Genomic DNA, 15,980 nt, shown 5'->3' with positions numbered 1-15,980 from the left:
GAAAACCTAATCAAGAAATAGACTTCAAGCAGGTCAAGGAAGCTTTAACTCAGGTCCCAGCCTTAAGACTATGAGACATAACTAAGTCTTTCTATATGTTCATGAACAAAAAAACAATGACTATAGGGGCTCTGACTCAACTTATAGGATCGTGGCATCGCCCAGTGGCACATTTATCCAAACAACCAGACTCCGTGGTGTTAAGATGGCCTCTTTGCCTTAAGGCATTAGCTGCCACCATCTTGTTAACACAGGAAGCTAGCAAATTAACTCTAGGACAGCAACTAACCGTCTGGGTGCCACACTGAGTCATAACTTTGATGGATCAAAGAAGGCACCATTAGTTATCAAACCTGAGGATGACTCAGTACCAAGGGCTTCTATGTGAAAACCCTTACACAATTTTAGAACAGTAAACACCCTAACCCGGCTATTCTGCTCCCAGTCGAACAGGCAGCTCCTCTCCATAACTGTGTCAAAACAGTAGACGAGGTATTCCCCAATGAGAAAGATCTTACAGACAGACCCCTCAGAGACCCAGATGTCAAGTACTTCACAGGTGGAAGTAGTTCTGTGCTAGAAGAGTTTGGACATGCCGGGTATGCAGTGGTAACATCAGACTCAGTAGTAGAGGCTCAGCCTCTGCCTACCGGAACATCAGCTCAAAAGGCAGAATTAATAGCCCTGACAAGAGCACTGTTGCTAGCAAAAGAGAAGTCAGTATTTACACTAATTCTAAGTATGCTTTTACTACCTTGCATGTACATGGAACTATATATAAAGAGAGAGGACTTTTATCAGCTAGAGGCAAGAAATAAAGTACAAAGAAGAGATTCTACAGCTCTTAGAGGCAGTATAGGCTCCAGAGAAAGTAGCTATAATGCACTGCAGAGGGCACCAAATGGCAAGGATGCCAGAAGCCACAGGAAACAGAAAGGCAGAGAGGCAAAGCAGGCAGCAATGATCACGCTGCATTTTAAAGAGGAAGCCTTAGCTATGCCTCTCCTCCCAGAACCTCCTCTCCAAGACAACCCAAGTTATACTCCAAATCAAAGATCCTGGTTTGCCCAAGAAGATAAAAAATATATTAAAAGAAGGTAGTAGAAGTTCTTTGATAGGAGACTAGCCATTCCAAAGATGTTAGCTCCTAAGTTTGTGAAGCAAACTCATCAAGAAACTCATATAAGAAAAACAGCATTAGCAACGTTATGAAAGTGCCATTTCTGGTTTTTTTTTTGAGATTGAGTCTCGCTCTGTCACCCAGGCTGGAGTGCAGTGGTGCAATCTTGGCTCACTGCAACCTCTGCTTCCCGGGTTCAAGTGTTTCTTCTGCCTCAGCCTCCCCAGTAGCTGGTATTACAGGCACCTGCCATCATGACTGGCTACTTCTTTTGTTTTTTCAGTAGAGACTGGACGTCACCATGTTGCTCATACTGGTCTTGAACTCCGGACCTCATGATCTGCCCACCTTGGCCTCCCAAAGTGGTAGGATTACAGGCATGAGCCACCGCGCCCGGCCACGAAAGTGCCATTTCTATGTGCTGTGGCTCTCTGCTGTCATTTGAGCCATTTGTAAACAATGTTTAACCTGTGCTCAGAATAACCGTTATGGGGGCCCACTTGGCCCCCAAGAATTCAAGAAGCAGGAGCCATGCCTTGTGAAAACTTGGTTATAAACTTTACCGAACTGCTCCGTGCATCCGACAGAGGATGTCGGTATATGCTAGTGCTTATTTGTACCTTTTTCAAGATAGGTTAAAGCTTTCCCCACCAGGACAGAAAAAGCATGAGAAGTGACTGAAGACTTCTTCCCAGGTTTGGACTGCCTCTATCTCTAAAGTCAGACAATGGGCCAGCATTTGCAGCTGAAATAGTGCAAGATTTAACAAGACTGCTAAAAATAAAATAGAAGTTACACATAGCCTATTGGCCGGAAAGTTCAAGAAAAGTAAAATACATGAACCAGACGTTAAGCAGCTACTGAAGAAATACTGCCAAGAAACTCACCTGAGATAAGATCAGGTCTTTCATATGGTTGTCCTCTGAGTCAGGTGCACCCCCACCAAATAAACTAGGTATTCACCTTATGAGAGTTCGTTCAGTCGGCCTCTCCAATCATAAGTCAAATTAAAAGTGATCTCCAAGAACTAGAGGAATTAACTTTAAGAAAACAAATGCAGGCTTTAATAATAGCCATGCAAGAAGCCCATAACTGAATATGAGAAAGAATGCCGATAAGTCTGACAGATCCAGTACACCGCTTAAACCTGGAGACTCTGTTTAGGTTAAAAAGTAGAATCCAACTTCTCTAAGACCCATATAGAATGGGCCCTATATTGTAATCTTGTCCACTCCCACTGCTATTAAATTTGCAGGAATCATGCCGTAGATCCACCACAGTCAGCTGAAACTGGCAGCTCAGGGCAAGTGGACCAGCCAGCAAGACCCAGACCATCCAACTCAGCTGATCCTGAGATGAGACCAAGCTGCTGCTGAGGACGACAGCCCTGCTCTGGTCACTCTGGAGGCTGACCAGTCTATGCACAGCTGAAGCTGGAGGGGACGACAAGCCCAGCTCTAGTCACACACCGGAAGCTGACTAGCCTATGCACAGCTGAAGCTGGAGGGGACAAGCCCTGCTCTAGTCACACACCAGAAGCTGACTAGTCTACGCACAGCTGAAGCTTGAGGACTCATCAAGCAAGTAAATGTGGTTAGAAATCTTAAGACTAGTAGTTTTCCTTGTAATACTAACTGTTTTATTATTGTTCTGTCGTTGTGCTCAACCTCCTCTGCCAGGCAAGGCCCTCTTCTGTCCTTGCTGGATATGAACATGCTGTACACTGTTTTGCTGTTGCTACCCTCCTTAACCATGGTAGAAAAAGCAACTATAGAAATGTGTCCCCACTGTACACATACTACCTACCTGGTCAGGGAACAGGATAACTAAGACTCTACTGCACCATACTTATTATGAGTGTACAAGGACTCGCTTAAGAACTTGTACTTATAAAGGCCAGGTGTGGTCACTCATGCCTGTAATTCCAGCACTCTGGGAGGCCGAGGCAGGTGGATCACCTGAGGTCGGGAGTTCGAGACCAGCCACACCAACATGGAACAACCCCGTCTTGAATAAAAATACAAAATTAACCAGGCATGGTGGTACATGCCTGTAATCACAGCTATTCAGGAGGATGGGGCAGGAGAATTGCTTGAACCCAGAAGGTGGAGGTTGTGGTGAGCCATGATCATGTCATTGCACTCCAGCCTGGGCAACAAGAGTGAAACTCCATCTCAAAAAAAAAAAAAAAAAAGAAAGACTTGTACTTATAATCAGACCATCTACTCAATTTGTGACCCAGGAAATAACCAACCTTATGTATGTTATAACACAAAGTTTTCACCTGGTGAATAGTTTAAAATACATGCAAGGTCAAAAGAAAGTTCCCTCTTAAACCAAACCAAGGTCCCTCCCTTTTACCGATGGCCTATTTCTCTGTATTTTGATGCTTGTCCAGCAGCAGACCTAGACTCATCCGTCTGTGGTAACCTACCTGTATAAAGATACTATAGAAATGACTACAAATATGTATGCATGCCACCTTGTCCCCTGGGACCCAGAAAAAGATTCTCAGTATTGCATATCGTGGCACCCCAGCACACAACAAAGGCCAATTATGCTTATCGAAATGCCAGTAAAACCAGACTGTGAAACAAAAACCTGTCATCCAGTAAATTTCACCATTCTAAAGCCAGACCTACCCGTGTGGACTGCAGGTTACCCCATACATGTCTCCACACACACCTACCCAGAAACCTACCTATATGTTATCAAAAAGGAACCCGGACCAGCAACAATTCCGAGTTTTTAAATCATTCCATAAGCATGCAGACTAGAAGTTACGAGAGCATCATCCTTTAGCTAAAAACCTGTTTGCTCGGCTAGCTGAAAACATTGCTAGCAGCTTAAGCATTTTCTCATGTTATGTTTGTAGAAGGACTAACATAGGAGACCAATGGCCTTAAGAAGCAAAAGAGTTAATGTCACAAGATAATTTAACTCTAACTGACTCTTCCCCCGAACCGATGCACCTAGCACTTTTTTTTTTTTTTTTTGAGACAGTCTCACTCTGTCACGCAGGCTGGAGTGCAGTGGCGTGATCTCGGCTCACTGCAAGCTCCGCCTCCCAAGTTCACGCCATTCTCCTGCCTCAGCCTCCCGAGTAGCTGGGACTACAGGTGCCCGCCACCAAGACTGGCTAATTGCTTTTTGTATTTTTAGTACAGACGGGGTTTCACCGTGTTAGCCAGGATGGTCTTGATCTCCTGACCTTGTGATCCACCCGCATCAGCCTCCCAAAGTGCTGGGATTACAGGTGTGAGCCACCGCACCCAGCCTTAAGCCCCTAGCTCTTAAAAACTTCCATTATCAGGAGATACTGTGTTGCTCACTAAGGAAAAGCTTTTACAGACTCCCTAGAAGAATTAACTTGTTTAAGACAGGAATATTATAATAAAACACTAAAGAAAACTTTGTGGCAAGGCAAAGATGACTCCAGATCACCTCATCCAAACCCATTCTCCTGTTTCTCTTCTCTAAACCACACATAGTATCAGCTTGAAGCTCCAAATACCTGGCAAGCACCCTCTGGTCTCTATTAGATCTGTGCACCAAGGGCCTACCGACAGTTGCCAGGAAAAAGGACAAGGGCTTGTGTACTTGAAACAATTAGACCATGTTTCTTCTCACTCCCACTGCAACAGGGAGAAACTTGAAGGTATCCTGTCTACAATAAAATTAAAGAAAAAAACAAAAGAGATATAGACATAAGAAAAGACATAAAAATAGAAGACTAGAAAGACACAGATTGGCCCCCTGAAAGACTAATTCAGTACTCTAGGCCAGCTACCTGGGCACAAAATAAGTCATAAAGGTACCGCACCCCAATTTACATGCTTAACCGCATCATAAAGTTGCAAGCAGTACTTGAAATCATCACTAATGAAACAGCAAATGCATTAGACTTACTGGCCCAGCAAGCCACAAAAATGAGAAATGCCATCTACCAAAATAGATTAGCTTTCGACTACCTCCTAGCCCAGGAAGGAGGAGTATGTAGAAAGTTTAATCTAACTAATTGCTGCCTAGAAATCAATGACAATAGGAAGGCTGTTATAGAAATAACTGCAAGAATAAAAAAATTATCCCATGTTCCAGTCCAGACTTAGACAAAGTAGACTCCTGAGTCCCTCTTTAGCGGCTGGTTTTCCTCCTTCAGTCGATTCAAAACCTTAACAGGAGTGGTTCTAGAAATACTAAGAATTGGTTTAATACTCCCTTACCTCTTACCTCTCCTTGTTAAGGAACATTCAATCAACTATAGAAGCAATTGTCACTAGGCAGACTACCACTCAGCTAATAGCTCCATATAAATATCAGCCTGTGCCTAAAGAAGAAAACCTGCTTTTTCATGAATAATCAAGTAATAGTGATGCTTTCTATTAAAATCTTGTTTATAAAAAGCAAAGGGAGAAAACTCAGGCAGAAATTAAAAAAAAAATATGCATTCATTCACTCCAAGAAAAGTAACAGGCAAGGCAAGGGTTAAAAAGAGAAGAACAAGTTTTCCTCTGCCTAGCAAGCTCACTTAGAGAACAGTTATAACATAACGCTGTTTGCGAAGTCGAAGCCAAAGGAATGGGCTCCAGACACCTCCTCCCCTTTAGAACAAGAGTGAAAGAAAGAAAGAAAGAAAAGAAAAGAAAAAGAAAGAAAGAAAGAAAGAAAACAAATGTATTTAGCTGTTCTTGCTTTTCTTTCAATGCAGCTGCAAGACCACCAGCTATGCAAGGCCACAAGTTATGCTATGCTATAGATTATGTGACCAATCATTACATGATTAACTGCTTTTATTTTGCTTCTGTAAGCCTGCTTATAAAAACCCCACTCTTTGTTGAAATGCTCAGCTTTTTAGATGTAAATCCACTGAGCCGGTGCGTACCTTAAGTAAACATCCTTCTGTCTCCCCCATAGCAGTCTCTCTAGTCCTCAGTTTCCCGCAACACCATCTCTGCGCCTCCTCTGCTCTCCCCGTTAAATTCTCTCTTCCCTGTTATACCCCCTGTCCCCACTCTCTGGCAGCCTAGATCCCCAGGTGTCCTCCCTGCTGTGCTTCTCCCTCTGTTCTTGCCACCAGCACCACTCTGCTCTGTCTGCCCTGGCTCCAAATCCCTCCTCCTCTCCCTCACCCTGATGAGCCTCCCTCTTTGCTGCCCCTCTCCCTACCTTGCTGTCCTTCATCTCTCTGTACATCTAGCTTTTCTCTGCATGTCTCCAGTTGCTTTTCTCCTCCTGCTTTCTTATATATATTTTTTTCACTTTCGTTGTCTCTTGGCAAATCCCTCACCCATTCTCTACTTTGCCATCTGTTATGAGTCTTTCTCATTCTTTTCTTTCTCAGGTTTTCTACTGCGTGTGTCTCCTGATCCCTTTAGCCCACAGAATCACATGACGGTTTGGAGTAAGATGGCTACATACCAGGGGAGCGCATTTTCAAGGGGCTGGAGCTGGGCAGGGAAGAACACCCCATGTCACAGGATATGGGGAAAAGAAAGAGAAATCAGACTGTTACTTTGTGGATGCAGAAAAGGAAGACATAAGAAACTTCATTTTGATCTGTACTAAGAAAAATTGTTTCTGCTTTGAGATGCTGTTAATCCGTAACTTTAGCCCCAACCCTGTGCTCACAGAAACATGTGCTGTATTGAATCAAGGTTTAATGGATTTAGGGCTGTGCAGGGTGTGCCTTGTTAACAATATGTTTGCAGGCAGTATGCTTGGTAAAAGTCATCGCCATTCTCCATTCTCAGTTAACCAGGGACACAATGCACTGCGGAAAGCCGCAGGGACCTCTGCCCTAGAAAGCCTGGGTATTGTCCAAGTTTCCCCCCACTGAGACAGCCTGAGATATGGCCTCGTGGGAAAGGAAAGACCTTACATCCCCCAGCCGGACACCCGTAAAGAGTCTGTGCTGAGGAGGAGTAGTGAAAGAGGAAGGCCTCTTTGCAGTTGAGATAAGAGGAAGACTTCTGTCTCCTGCTGGTCCCTGGGAATGGAATGTCTAGGTGTAAAGCTGACCATTTCCATTCGTTCTATTCTGAGATAGGAGAAAACCGCCCTGTGGCTGGAGGCGAGATATGCTGGCAGCAATACTGCTCTGTGACTCTTTGCTACACTGAGATGTTTGGGTGAAGAGAAACATAAATCTAGCCTACGTGCACATCTGGGCACAGTACCTTTCCTTGAACTTATTCATGATATAGATTCCTTTGCTCACATGTTTTCTTGCTGACCTCTCCCCACCTGTTGCCCTGCTACACTCCCCTCACTAGGACAGTAAAAATAATGATCAATAAATACTGAGGGAACTCAGAGGCTGGCACTGGTGCCGGTCCTCCGTATGCTGAGCGCCGGTCCCCTGGGCCCACTGTCCTTTCTCTATACTTTGTCTTTGTGTCTTATTTCTTTTCTCAGTCTCTCTTCCCACCTGACGAGAAATACCCACAGGTGTGGAAGGGCTGGCCTCCTTCAACAGGACAAGCCCCGGGCACCTCCCCAACGTGGGCTCAGGGGAAGCCGTGACTGCGGAGGGGAGACCTAGGAAGCAGCAGGGCCCGGCAGGAGGAGGGAGGTGGGGGGGGGGGGGCGCGAGGGCGCCTTAAGACAAGGGTGGGGTCTGCAGGATCCCGGGACCAGACAGAGGACGCGGCCTTCCCGGGACTGGGGCCGCGGTTCTGCGCTCCACCGGCCGAAGTGGGCGAGAATCCACCCCTTGGGTGAGGACTTCAAAAAGCGCGGGGTGGGAGGAGTCAGAGAAAGGTTTAGAGCAGGAAAAATGCGCGATAGAAAGTGTATACATTGCCCTATAGCAGAAAGACCCGGGACGGGACCAGCCTCAGGGCGACCTTAAACACAAAAGGAAGCGACCCCCGGACTCTCACGGGGTCGTCTCAATTTGCTCTGGGTGAAGGAAGACGGCTGAGAATTTCCAGGTTTGTGGGGACCCCACGCCCCAGGTACAGAAGCGCCAGGGACCTGGGAAGTGCAGACCTAATACAACACAGAGCCAAACTCACGCGCTGCCGTGGGACCGTCACTCCACGCGATCCGCTTCCGGGTTTTCGCGAATCTGCGCGCAGGACAGAAGCCAGGCCTGGGCGGGACCTGGGAGGTGGGCGGGGCCTGACGAAGCAGGGGCGGGGCGAGAGGCGGAGAGACTTTGCCCTTTGGAAGGCGCAGAGGGCGGGGCCGGGGTGGGACCTGTGAGTCCGTCACCCTCGCTCCAGCGCCTGTTTTAGGGTTTTGGAGTCGAGACCGGCCAGTAAGGTTGAGGCACTATTCAAAAGCCCTGGAATTGTCTGGAACGGGGATGCAAACTAGAATGTGAAATGCAAAGCCCTGCCTGGGCGGAAGGTACGATTTCATGCTGACGGCCCACAAAACAAAATAGAAATCCTCCCCCTTTCTATTCTCCATTCACTCAGGAGGGCAAGTCCACCCCGTGCTCAACTTCAGAGATTTCCCTAAAGCCACCGCCATGGATGCGGGACGGAGTGCTCAGGCCAGGGAGGAGTGAGGTGACCACCTGCTGGATGGGGCGCCGGGGTGGGAGGGATGCGCGCGCGGGGGCAGGAGCCTGAGGTCCCAGCTACTCAGGAAGCAGCGGCGGGAGGATCGCTGAGCCTGGGGGTCCAGGCCAGCCTGAGCGACAAAGTAACACCCCCTCCCGCAGCGCTTCCTTCCTCGTCTCTTTTTTTCCTTTTTTTTTTTTAATGTTTTAAAATACAATTTTGATTGTGTGAGATAGGGATCCAACAGTATTCTTTTCCATCTGGATATTCAGTTAGTTGTCTCAGCACGTTTGTGGAAGAGATTTATTACTTTATTTATTTACTTATTTCTTTTGAGACAGAGTATTTCTCTGTCGCCCAGGCTAGAGGGCAGTAACGGGATCTCGGTTCACTGCAGCCTCTTCCCTCTTGGGTTCAAGCGATTCCCCTGCCTCAGCCTCCGGAGTACCTGCCATTACATTCGCGTGCCACCATGCCTGGCTAATTTTTGTATTTTTGTAGACGGGTTTCACCATGTTGGCCAGGCTGGTCTCAAACTCTTGACTTCAAGTGATCCGCCTGCCTCGGCCTCCCAAAGTGCTGGCATTACAGGCGTGAGCCACTGCACCTGGCCCAACAAATACTTTTTACTTCACTTTCCAATTGTTGAGAAAACATAATTGAAAACAAACAAAAAGTCTTCCCCCCAATGAGAAATCATCTCCACGACGACAATAGAGAAAGAAATTAAAACCATTTCATTAATAAATAAGCCTTAGGCCAGATTATGATGCGAAATAGACAAACAGCTAAGAGGTTGAAAAGAGAGAAAGAAACTTCACTGTTCTATACAACCCATTAAGTACATGTTTTCAAGATAAACACTAATCAGTCCTCAGGGAAGAGGACTTGACAACACCCTTGGTCACACATAGTTCATCCTGGCTCTACTTGGTAATGGAGGTAACCATCTGTGTCAGCTAAGTAGCTTCATGCCGAGGAGGGGAAGAAACCCTAACCCATGTTTTTTTGACAAGTGTGAGTTTTACAACATGGCGACAGGTGCCCTCTGTAGTGAGGCTCCTAAAATCCGACAGAAACTGATGTCAGCAGTAAATAATAAAATTTAGAATTTATGATTAAATATAGAGTTTATCTGAACACAAAGCATGAGGATAGCCACTGGCAAACATCAACTCCAAATGAATGGGATCAGCGTTCCATAGTAGAGACGTTTAGGTTTCACACACAGGGAAAGACAGAAGCTTTAGGACAATCACATTTTCCATTCAAGACCAGTGCATAGGTTGCAGCAAGTTGATTGGTGACAGAGTGATACACTTCAAGGAAGGTTACTTTATCACTCCATAAAAAGGGACAATGATCTCAGGAGGTCTTATCTCTGGGGTTGCTTAGTCTTTCTAATTATTTACATGAAAACTTTTCCTGTAAATAAGAGGAAGACTTGCATAGGCTGGAGTGCAGTGGGGCGACCTCGGCTCACTGCAACCTCTACCTCTCAGATTCAAGCAGTTCTCTTGCCTCAGCCTCCCAAGTAGCTGGGATTACAGGTGCATGCCACCATTGTTTTTTTTTGTTTGAGACAGAGTCTCGCTCTGTTGCCTAAGCTGGAGAGCAATGACACGATCTCAGCTGCTTACTGCAACCTCTGCCTCCCGGGTTCAAGCGATTCTCCTGGCTCAGGCTCTCGAGTAGCTAGGAGCCCAGCTAACTTTTGTATTTTTAGTAGAGATGGGGTTTCACCATGTAGGGCAGGCTGGTCTCAAACTCCTGACCTTGTGATCCACCCGCCCAAGCCTTCCAATTTTCTGGGATTACAGGTGTGAGCCACCACGCCTGGCCTTTTGTTTTGTATTTTTAGTAGAGAGGTGGTTTCACCATGTTGGCCATGCTAGTTTCAAACTCTTGACCTCAAGTGATCTGTCCACCTCGACCTCCCAAAGTGGTGAGATTACAGGTGTGGGCCACCACACGTGGCAAGGAAAACTCGTAGAAGTTACGCCTGCATTCCACTGGACTCAAGCTGAATGAGCACATTTCTCTCAAGGTGTAGCAGGACGAGCCACAGACAAAAGCCCTCACACACAGGGTTAAAGAAGGAAGTTGCTTTATTTGGCCGGGAGCATCGGCTGACTGGCATCTCAAGAACCGAGCTCCCCCAAGAAGGAGTTCCTGGTCCTTTTAAGGGCTTACAACTGTAAGGGGTTCCACGTGAAAGGGTCATGATAGATTGAGAGCACATGTGGTTAGAGTTGGGGGTTAATATTTTAACCTCAGGCCTGGTCATCAGTGGCACCAGCTGGTCTTGCCACTGACTTCATTCCTGTTGTTTTTCAGCTTTTACTTCAGAGACAGGAGACAGTAAGAGAAATGGCCTCTCTCTTCAAAGGCTCATAATTATTTAAAGGTCATAGCTTTAAATTGGAATTATTTGATGTATGAATTATTTAATTTCCTACTGAGATACAGGTACTGTCTCCCTTGTATTTTGCCTTTCAAAGAGAGCTCCCAAGTCCTTCAGAAATACATCCCTGGGTCATCAAGCTGAAAAAAGGTTTAGTTAGTTTCTAAAAAATACCACTTCAGACCAGGTGTGGTGGTTCACACCTGTAATCCCAGCACTTTCAGAGGCCAAGATGGCGAATCACTTGAGGTCAGGAGTTCGAAACCGGGCTTGTACCCGGAAGTTGAAGGCTGCGGTGAACTGGGATCGTGCAATTGCACTCTAGCCTAAGCAACAAAAGCAAAACTCCATCTAAAAAACAAACAACAAAAACAAAACAACAAAAAACCTCAGAAGACAGACAAAATCCATTTACAAATTTTCTAAATAAGTCTCCTAAGAAAAGAGACGAAAGGAAAGTAAATCTCTTTATTTTCACAGGAGGAATTACACCTCTCATTTATTTGCTTGTTTGTTTGAGACAGGGTCTAGCTCTGACACCCAGGCTAGAGTGTGGTGGTGAGATCAGGGCTCACTGCAGCCTCCAACTCCCTGGCTCAAGCGATCCTCCCACCTCAGCGCTCCAGCAGCTGGGACCACAGGCGCGCACCACCACACTTGGCTGATTTTTTTATATTTTTATTAGAGACGACGTCTCATCATGTTGCCCAGGCTGATCTCAAACTCCTGGGCTCAAGCGATCCTCTCACTTCGGCCACTCAAAGTGCTGGGATTACAAGTGTGAACCACCGCTCCGGGCCCTGACTTTATTTCCATGAAATATGAAATTGTCCTTCACCTCCTGTGTATAATAGGCAGTTCTGCTTGTCACCCTTCAGTTTCCATTATCCACTCAAACAACCCAACCCAGGACCTTGCTTAGTTTAATAAGCCGTTCTAATTGTCTGTGCCCGCTGCAACCAGCGCCCCACTCCACCCCTTTACCGAGGTCCCTGACCCTCTCCACCGCCCTGCCCCAGACTGAGGGGAGCTTGCCCCGCCTGCAGGACGCGCGACTCTACCTTCTCCAAAAAAGCTCTTTGCATTGAAACTATTTTCAACTTAAGAGGAAAAACGATTCAACGTTCAGTACAGGTGGCCCACTACAATATGTTGTTTTACCTTCGATTGTTCGAAATAGTAACTTCAACGGGCAGGAAGCATCCCTGTGATATTAGGGGTAATATCATGGCACATCAGAAACAATCCACCAATCAGAACCCGGAGGACCCAGTCCTGGAGGGCAAGAGGATGAGAGCAGGCGACATCCACGGCCCAGCTGAGAAAAGAATCCGGACCCGCCCCCTCCAGGCCCCGCCCTTCAGAACAAAAAACCCCTTCCAGACCCCACCCCCAAGATGACGCTAACCCTCGGGTCCCGCCTTTTCCTGCTGTCCAGCCCGGCCCCCAGGCAGCCTCCTCCCTCTTGCCCCGCCCACTCCCATTCCAGGCCCCACCCCCACCCTCTAACCAGGCCCGGTTTCCAAAGCTGCCTCCACCCTCTCTCCCCGACCCAGCACCTGTTCTGGCCCGGCCCCCTCGGCGACCTTTACCCCTCCCGTTCCGTCCCCGCTCTCTGTCCAGAACCCGCCCAGAAGGAATCTGGGTGCTTCGGGATGTTGAAATCCCCACGCGAGTTTGTGCAGTTGTCAGGGAGTCCCGGCTTCCCCATGGGAAGCTCGCAGGCCCAGTGGCTCTGCAGCTTTTGTATCGTTTTAGACCGTGTCCTCCGCCTTTCAATACCCTATTGCCCTTTCCAATAATCCCAGTTGGCGGCTGCTGAGCGCCTCACCCTTCATCCACCCATGTTTCCCAGCTGTCAGCCCCTTTGTTCTCGTGAGCGCTGACTCCACAGTGTGGATCTTTGCTTGGCATGCTGGATGAGGACTACCAAATTCCTGCTTTTGTGAGAATTGGATTAATTGTCTGTTTTTGTATAACGTTCAGTCGTTTTGTTGCCTAAAATGGTGTCACAGTCCACACCCCATGTGAGAGTTCTTGGATCTTGCGCAGTAAAAAATTCAAGGCGAGGGTCCGAGTGTAGTGAGGCGAGAGAGTTTATTGAAAGCTACCAGTTACGCAGTAGGGCGTCCTCAGAAAGCAGGGGGAACGCCTCCTCCTGAAGTTTTTCTTACATAGAGGCCTACGTAAAAGCTTTTTTTTTTTTTTTTTTTTTTTGAGATGGAGTCTCGCTCTGTTGCCCAGGCTGGAGTGCAGTGGCGCGATCTGGGCTCACTGCAAGCTCCGCCTCCCGGGTTCACGCCATTCTCCTGCCTCTGCCTCCCAAGTAGCTGGGACTACAGGCGCCCGCCACTACGCCCGGCTAATTTTTTGTATTTTTAGTAGAGACGGGGTTTCATCGTGTTAGCCAGGATTGTCTCGATCTCCTGACCTCGTGATCCACCTGCCTCGGCCTCCCAAAGTGCTGGGATTACAGGCGTGAGCCACCGCGCCCGGCCAAAGCCTACGTAAAAGCTAAGGTATGTCTACCTGCGGGTGGGCTGACACTGTAACAAAACTTATTACTTTGTTGATTTAAAGCTATCCTTGGCCAGGCGCAATGGCTTACGCCTGTATTGACAGCGCTTTGGAAGGCCGAGGCAGGTGGATCACCGGAGGTCAGGAGTCCGAGACCAGCCTGCTATCTTAAAAGCATACATTGTCATGGGATATTGGGTCATCTGGACATTGTGTTTCTGTAGAAATTTGTCCTTGCAGGTATCAATAAGCTGCTTTCCTTAACCATAAACATCTTATGACGGTGACTCGTGCATGAGCTGTAAGGAATATGTCTTGCTAGTTTTAATGGACTTGAACTTTGTCACCCTAGCTCTCCTAGGTTCCTGCTTAACAGTTTATCCATTCATGCAACATAGTCCTAAGCACAATTATGGAGACACCAGTCTCTCGTAATGTATCTGACAGACTGAGCTTCTGCCCCAAGAACATAGTAATAGCAATACTAAGTGAAATATTAGGAAGTTTTATGTATGTATATAATTGATCATTTATTATTTGCAGTTTAAGTTGGCTAAAATTACATAGAATGGGTTATTTTAATCAAATACTAGAAATATATATCATTCGCAAATGGAATCTAATCACACAAAGTTGAAGAGCATTTCCCTATGTTGAATAAATATGAAGGAGTTCAGATTTTGGAACTGATTTCGTGCTTTCCATGACACCTAGCTTTTTTCTTATTCTCTCAATTTCTTCTGCGTTCATGAGCTTGTGAACTAAAAGTATCTACTAGGTCTCAGTCAATTTAGAAATCTATTTTGCCAAGGTTAAAAATGCCCCCGTGACACAGCCTCAGGAGGTCCTGACAATGTGTGCCCAAGGTGTTCAGGCTGCAGTTTGGTTTTACACATTTTGCAGAGACATAATACATCAATCAATACATGTAAGATATGCATTGGTTCAGTCTGGAAAGGTGGAATAACTGGAATTGGGGGGCTTCCGGGTCACAGGTAGATAACAAATGATCACATTCTTTGAGTCTTTGATCAACCTTTCACTAAATACACAATTTATATGTGAGAGCGGGAGGAGGAATAGTCACTTATGCCTTCGACTGCCTCAGTGACCCTGCGTTTTTATGTAAACAATAGGGCAGGGGAAGCAATCAGATAGGCATTTGTCTCAGGTGTGCAGAGGGATTGGTTCTGTCCCACACCTGTGCAGATAAGCTCTCGGTTTACATTGCCAGGGGGAAATTCAAAATAACTATTTTAGGGTGGAGATCTTGAGGTCCCCAGTTTGTGAGGGGAGTATATAGCTTTTTTTCTTTTCTTAGGGGAGTATATATCTTTTTTTCTTTTCTTTTCTTTTCTTTTTGAGACAGATTTTCACTGTTATTGCCCAGGCTGGAGGGCAATGGCGCAATCTCGGCTCACCACAACCTCCTCCTCCTGGGTTCAAGTGATTCTCCTTTCTGTGGGGAAAAGAGAGAGAGATCAGATTGTTACTGTGTCTATGCAGAAAAGGAAGACATAAGAAACTCCACTTTGATCTGTACTAAGAAAAATTGTTCTGCTTCGAGATGCTGTTAATCTGTAACTATAGCCTCAACCCTGTGCTCACAGAAACATGTGTTGTATTGAATCAAGGTTTAATGGATTTAGGGCTGTGCAGGGTGTGCCTTGTTAATATGTTTGCAGGCAGTATGCTTGGTAAAAGTTATCGCTGTTCTCCATTCTCTGTTAACCAGGGACACAATGCACTGCGGAAAGCCGCAGGGACCTCTGCCCTAGAAAGCCTGGGTATTGTCCAAGTTTCCCCCAACTGAGACAGCCTGAGATATGGCCTCATGGGAAAGGAAAGGCCTTACCATCCCCCAGCCTGACACCTGTAAAGGGTCTGTGCTGAGGAGGAGTAGTGAAAGAGGGAGGCCTCTTTGCAGTTGAGATAAGAGGAAGACTTCTGTCTCCTGCTCATCCCTGGGAATGGAATGTCTCAGTGTAAAGCCGACCATTCGTTCTATTCTGAGATAGGAGAAAACTGCCCTATGGCTGGAGGCGATATGCTGGCAGCAATACTGCTCTGTGACTCTTTGCTACACTGAGATGTTTGTGTAAAGTGAAACATAAATCTAGCCTACGTGCACATCCACAGTACCTTTCCTTGAACTTATTCATGATACAGATTCCTTTGCTCACTTGTTTCCCTGCTGACCTTCTCCCTACCGTCACCCCGTTGCCCTGCCGCACTCCCCTCGCCAAGATAGTAAAAATAGTGATCAATAAATACTAAGGGAACTCAGACCAGCGCCAGTGCGGGTCCTCGCATGTTGAGCGCCAGTCTCCTGGGCCCACTGTTCTTTCTTTATACTTTGTCTCTGTGTCTTATTTCTTTTCTCAGTCTCTCATCTGATGAGGAATACCCACAGATGTGGAGGGGCAGG

The 15,980-nt window shown here is 46.6% G+C and overlaps 1 protein-coding gene and 1 pseudogene across 1 annotated transcript in view, besides 5 other annotated features; one reads left to right on the top strand and one right to left on the bottom strand.

Annotated features, from left to right (window-relative positions):
- Window positions 1-8,193, bottom strand: part of ZNF813 (zinc finger protein 813) — a 28,523-nt gene extending 20,330 nt beyond the window's left edge. The window contains exon 1 of the mRNA NM_001004301.4: window positions 8,137-8,193. The gene's annotated coding sequence lies outside the window, so the exon portion shown is untranslated. The remainder of the gene's footprint in view (window positions 1-8,136) is intronic.
- Window positions 6,849-7,411: an enhancer, noted in NCBI's record as "H3K27ac hESC enhancer chr19:53971769-53972331 (GRCh37/hg19 assembly coordinates)". NCBI's record gives its function as "activates a minimal SCP1, AML or CMV promoter by ChIP-STARR-seq in naive and primed H9 embryonic stem cells {active_cell/tissue: H9 hESC(naive and primed)}" and the evidence as "EXISTENCE:reporter gene assay evidence [ECO:0000049][PMID:30033119]".
- Window positions 7,412-7,973: an enhancer, noted in NCBI's record as "H3K27ac hESC enhancer chr19:53971207-53971768 (GRCh37/hg19 assembly coordinates)". NCBI's record gives its function as "activates a minimal SCP1, AML or CMV promoter by ChIP-STARR-seq in naive and primed H9 embryonic stem cells {active_cell/tissue: H9 hESC(naive and primed)}" and the evidence as "EXISTENCE:reporter gene assay evidence [ECO:0000049][PMID:30033119]".
- Window positions 7,412-8,149: a biological region, named in NCBI's record as "H3K27ac hESC enhancer GRCh37_chr19:53971207-53971768".
- Window positions 7,910-8,149: an enhancer, noted in NCBI's record as "active region_15067". NCBI's record gives its function as "activates an Ori minimal core promoter by ATAC-STARR-seq in GM12878 lymphoblastoid cells {active_cell/tissue: GM12878}" and the evidence as "EXISTENCE:reporter gene assay evidence [ECO:0000049][PMID:35858748]".
- Window positions 8,220-8,349: a silencer, noted in NCBI's record as "silent region_11011". NCBI's record gives its function as "represses an Ori minimal core promoter by ATAC-STARR-seq in GM12878 lymphoblastoid cells {active_cell/tissue: GM12878}" and the evidence as "EXISTENCE:reporter gene assay evidence [ECO:0000049][PMID:35858748]".
- On the top strand, window positions 12,773-12,958 carry VN1R102P (vomeronasal 1 receptor 102 pseudogene; annotated as a pseudogene).

Source organism: Homo sapiens, chromosome 19, assembly GCF_000001405.40.
Source record: "Homo sapiens chromosome 19, GRCh38.p14 Primary Assembly".
Classification (NCBI taxonomy): Eukaryota; Metazoa; Chordata; class Mammalia; order Primates; family Hominidae; genus Homo; species Homo sapiens.
Note: the sequence above shows the minus strand (reverse complement) of the source record. Positions and strands in the feature narration are given on the sequence as shown.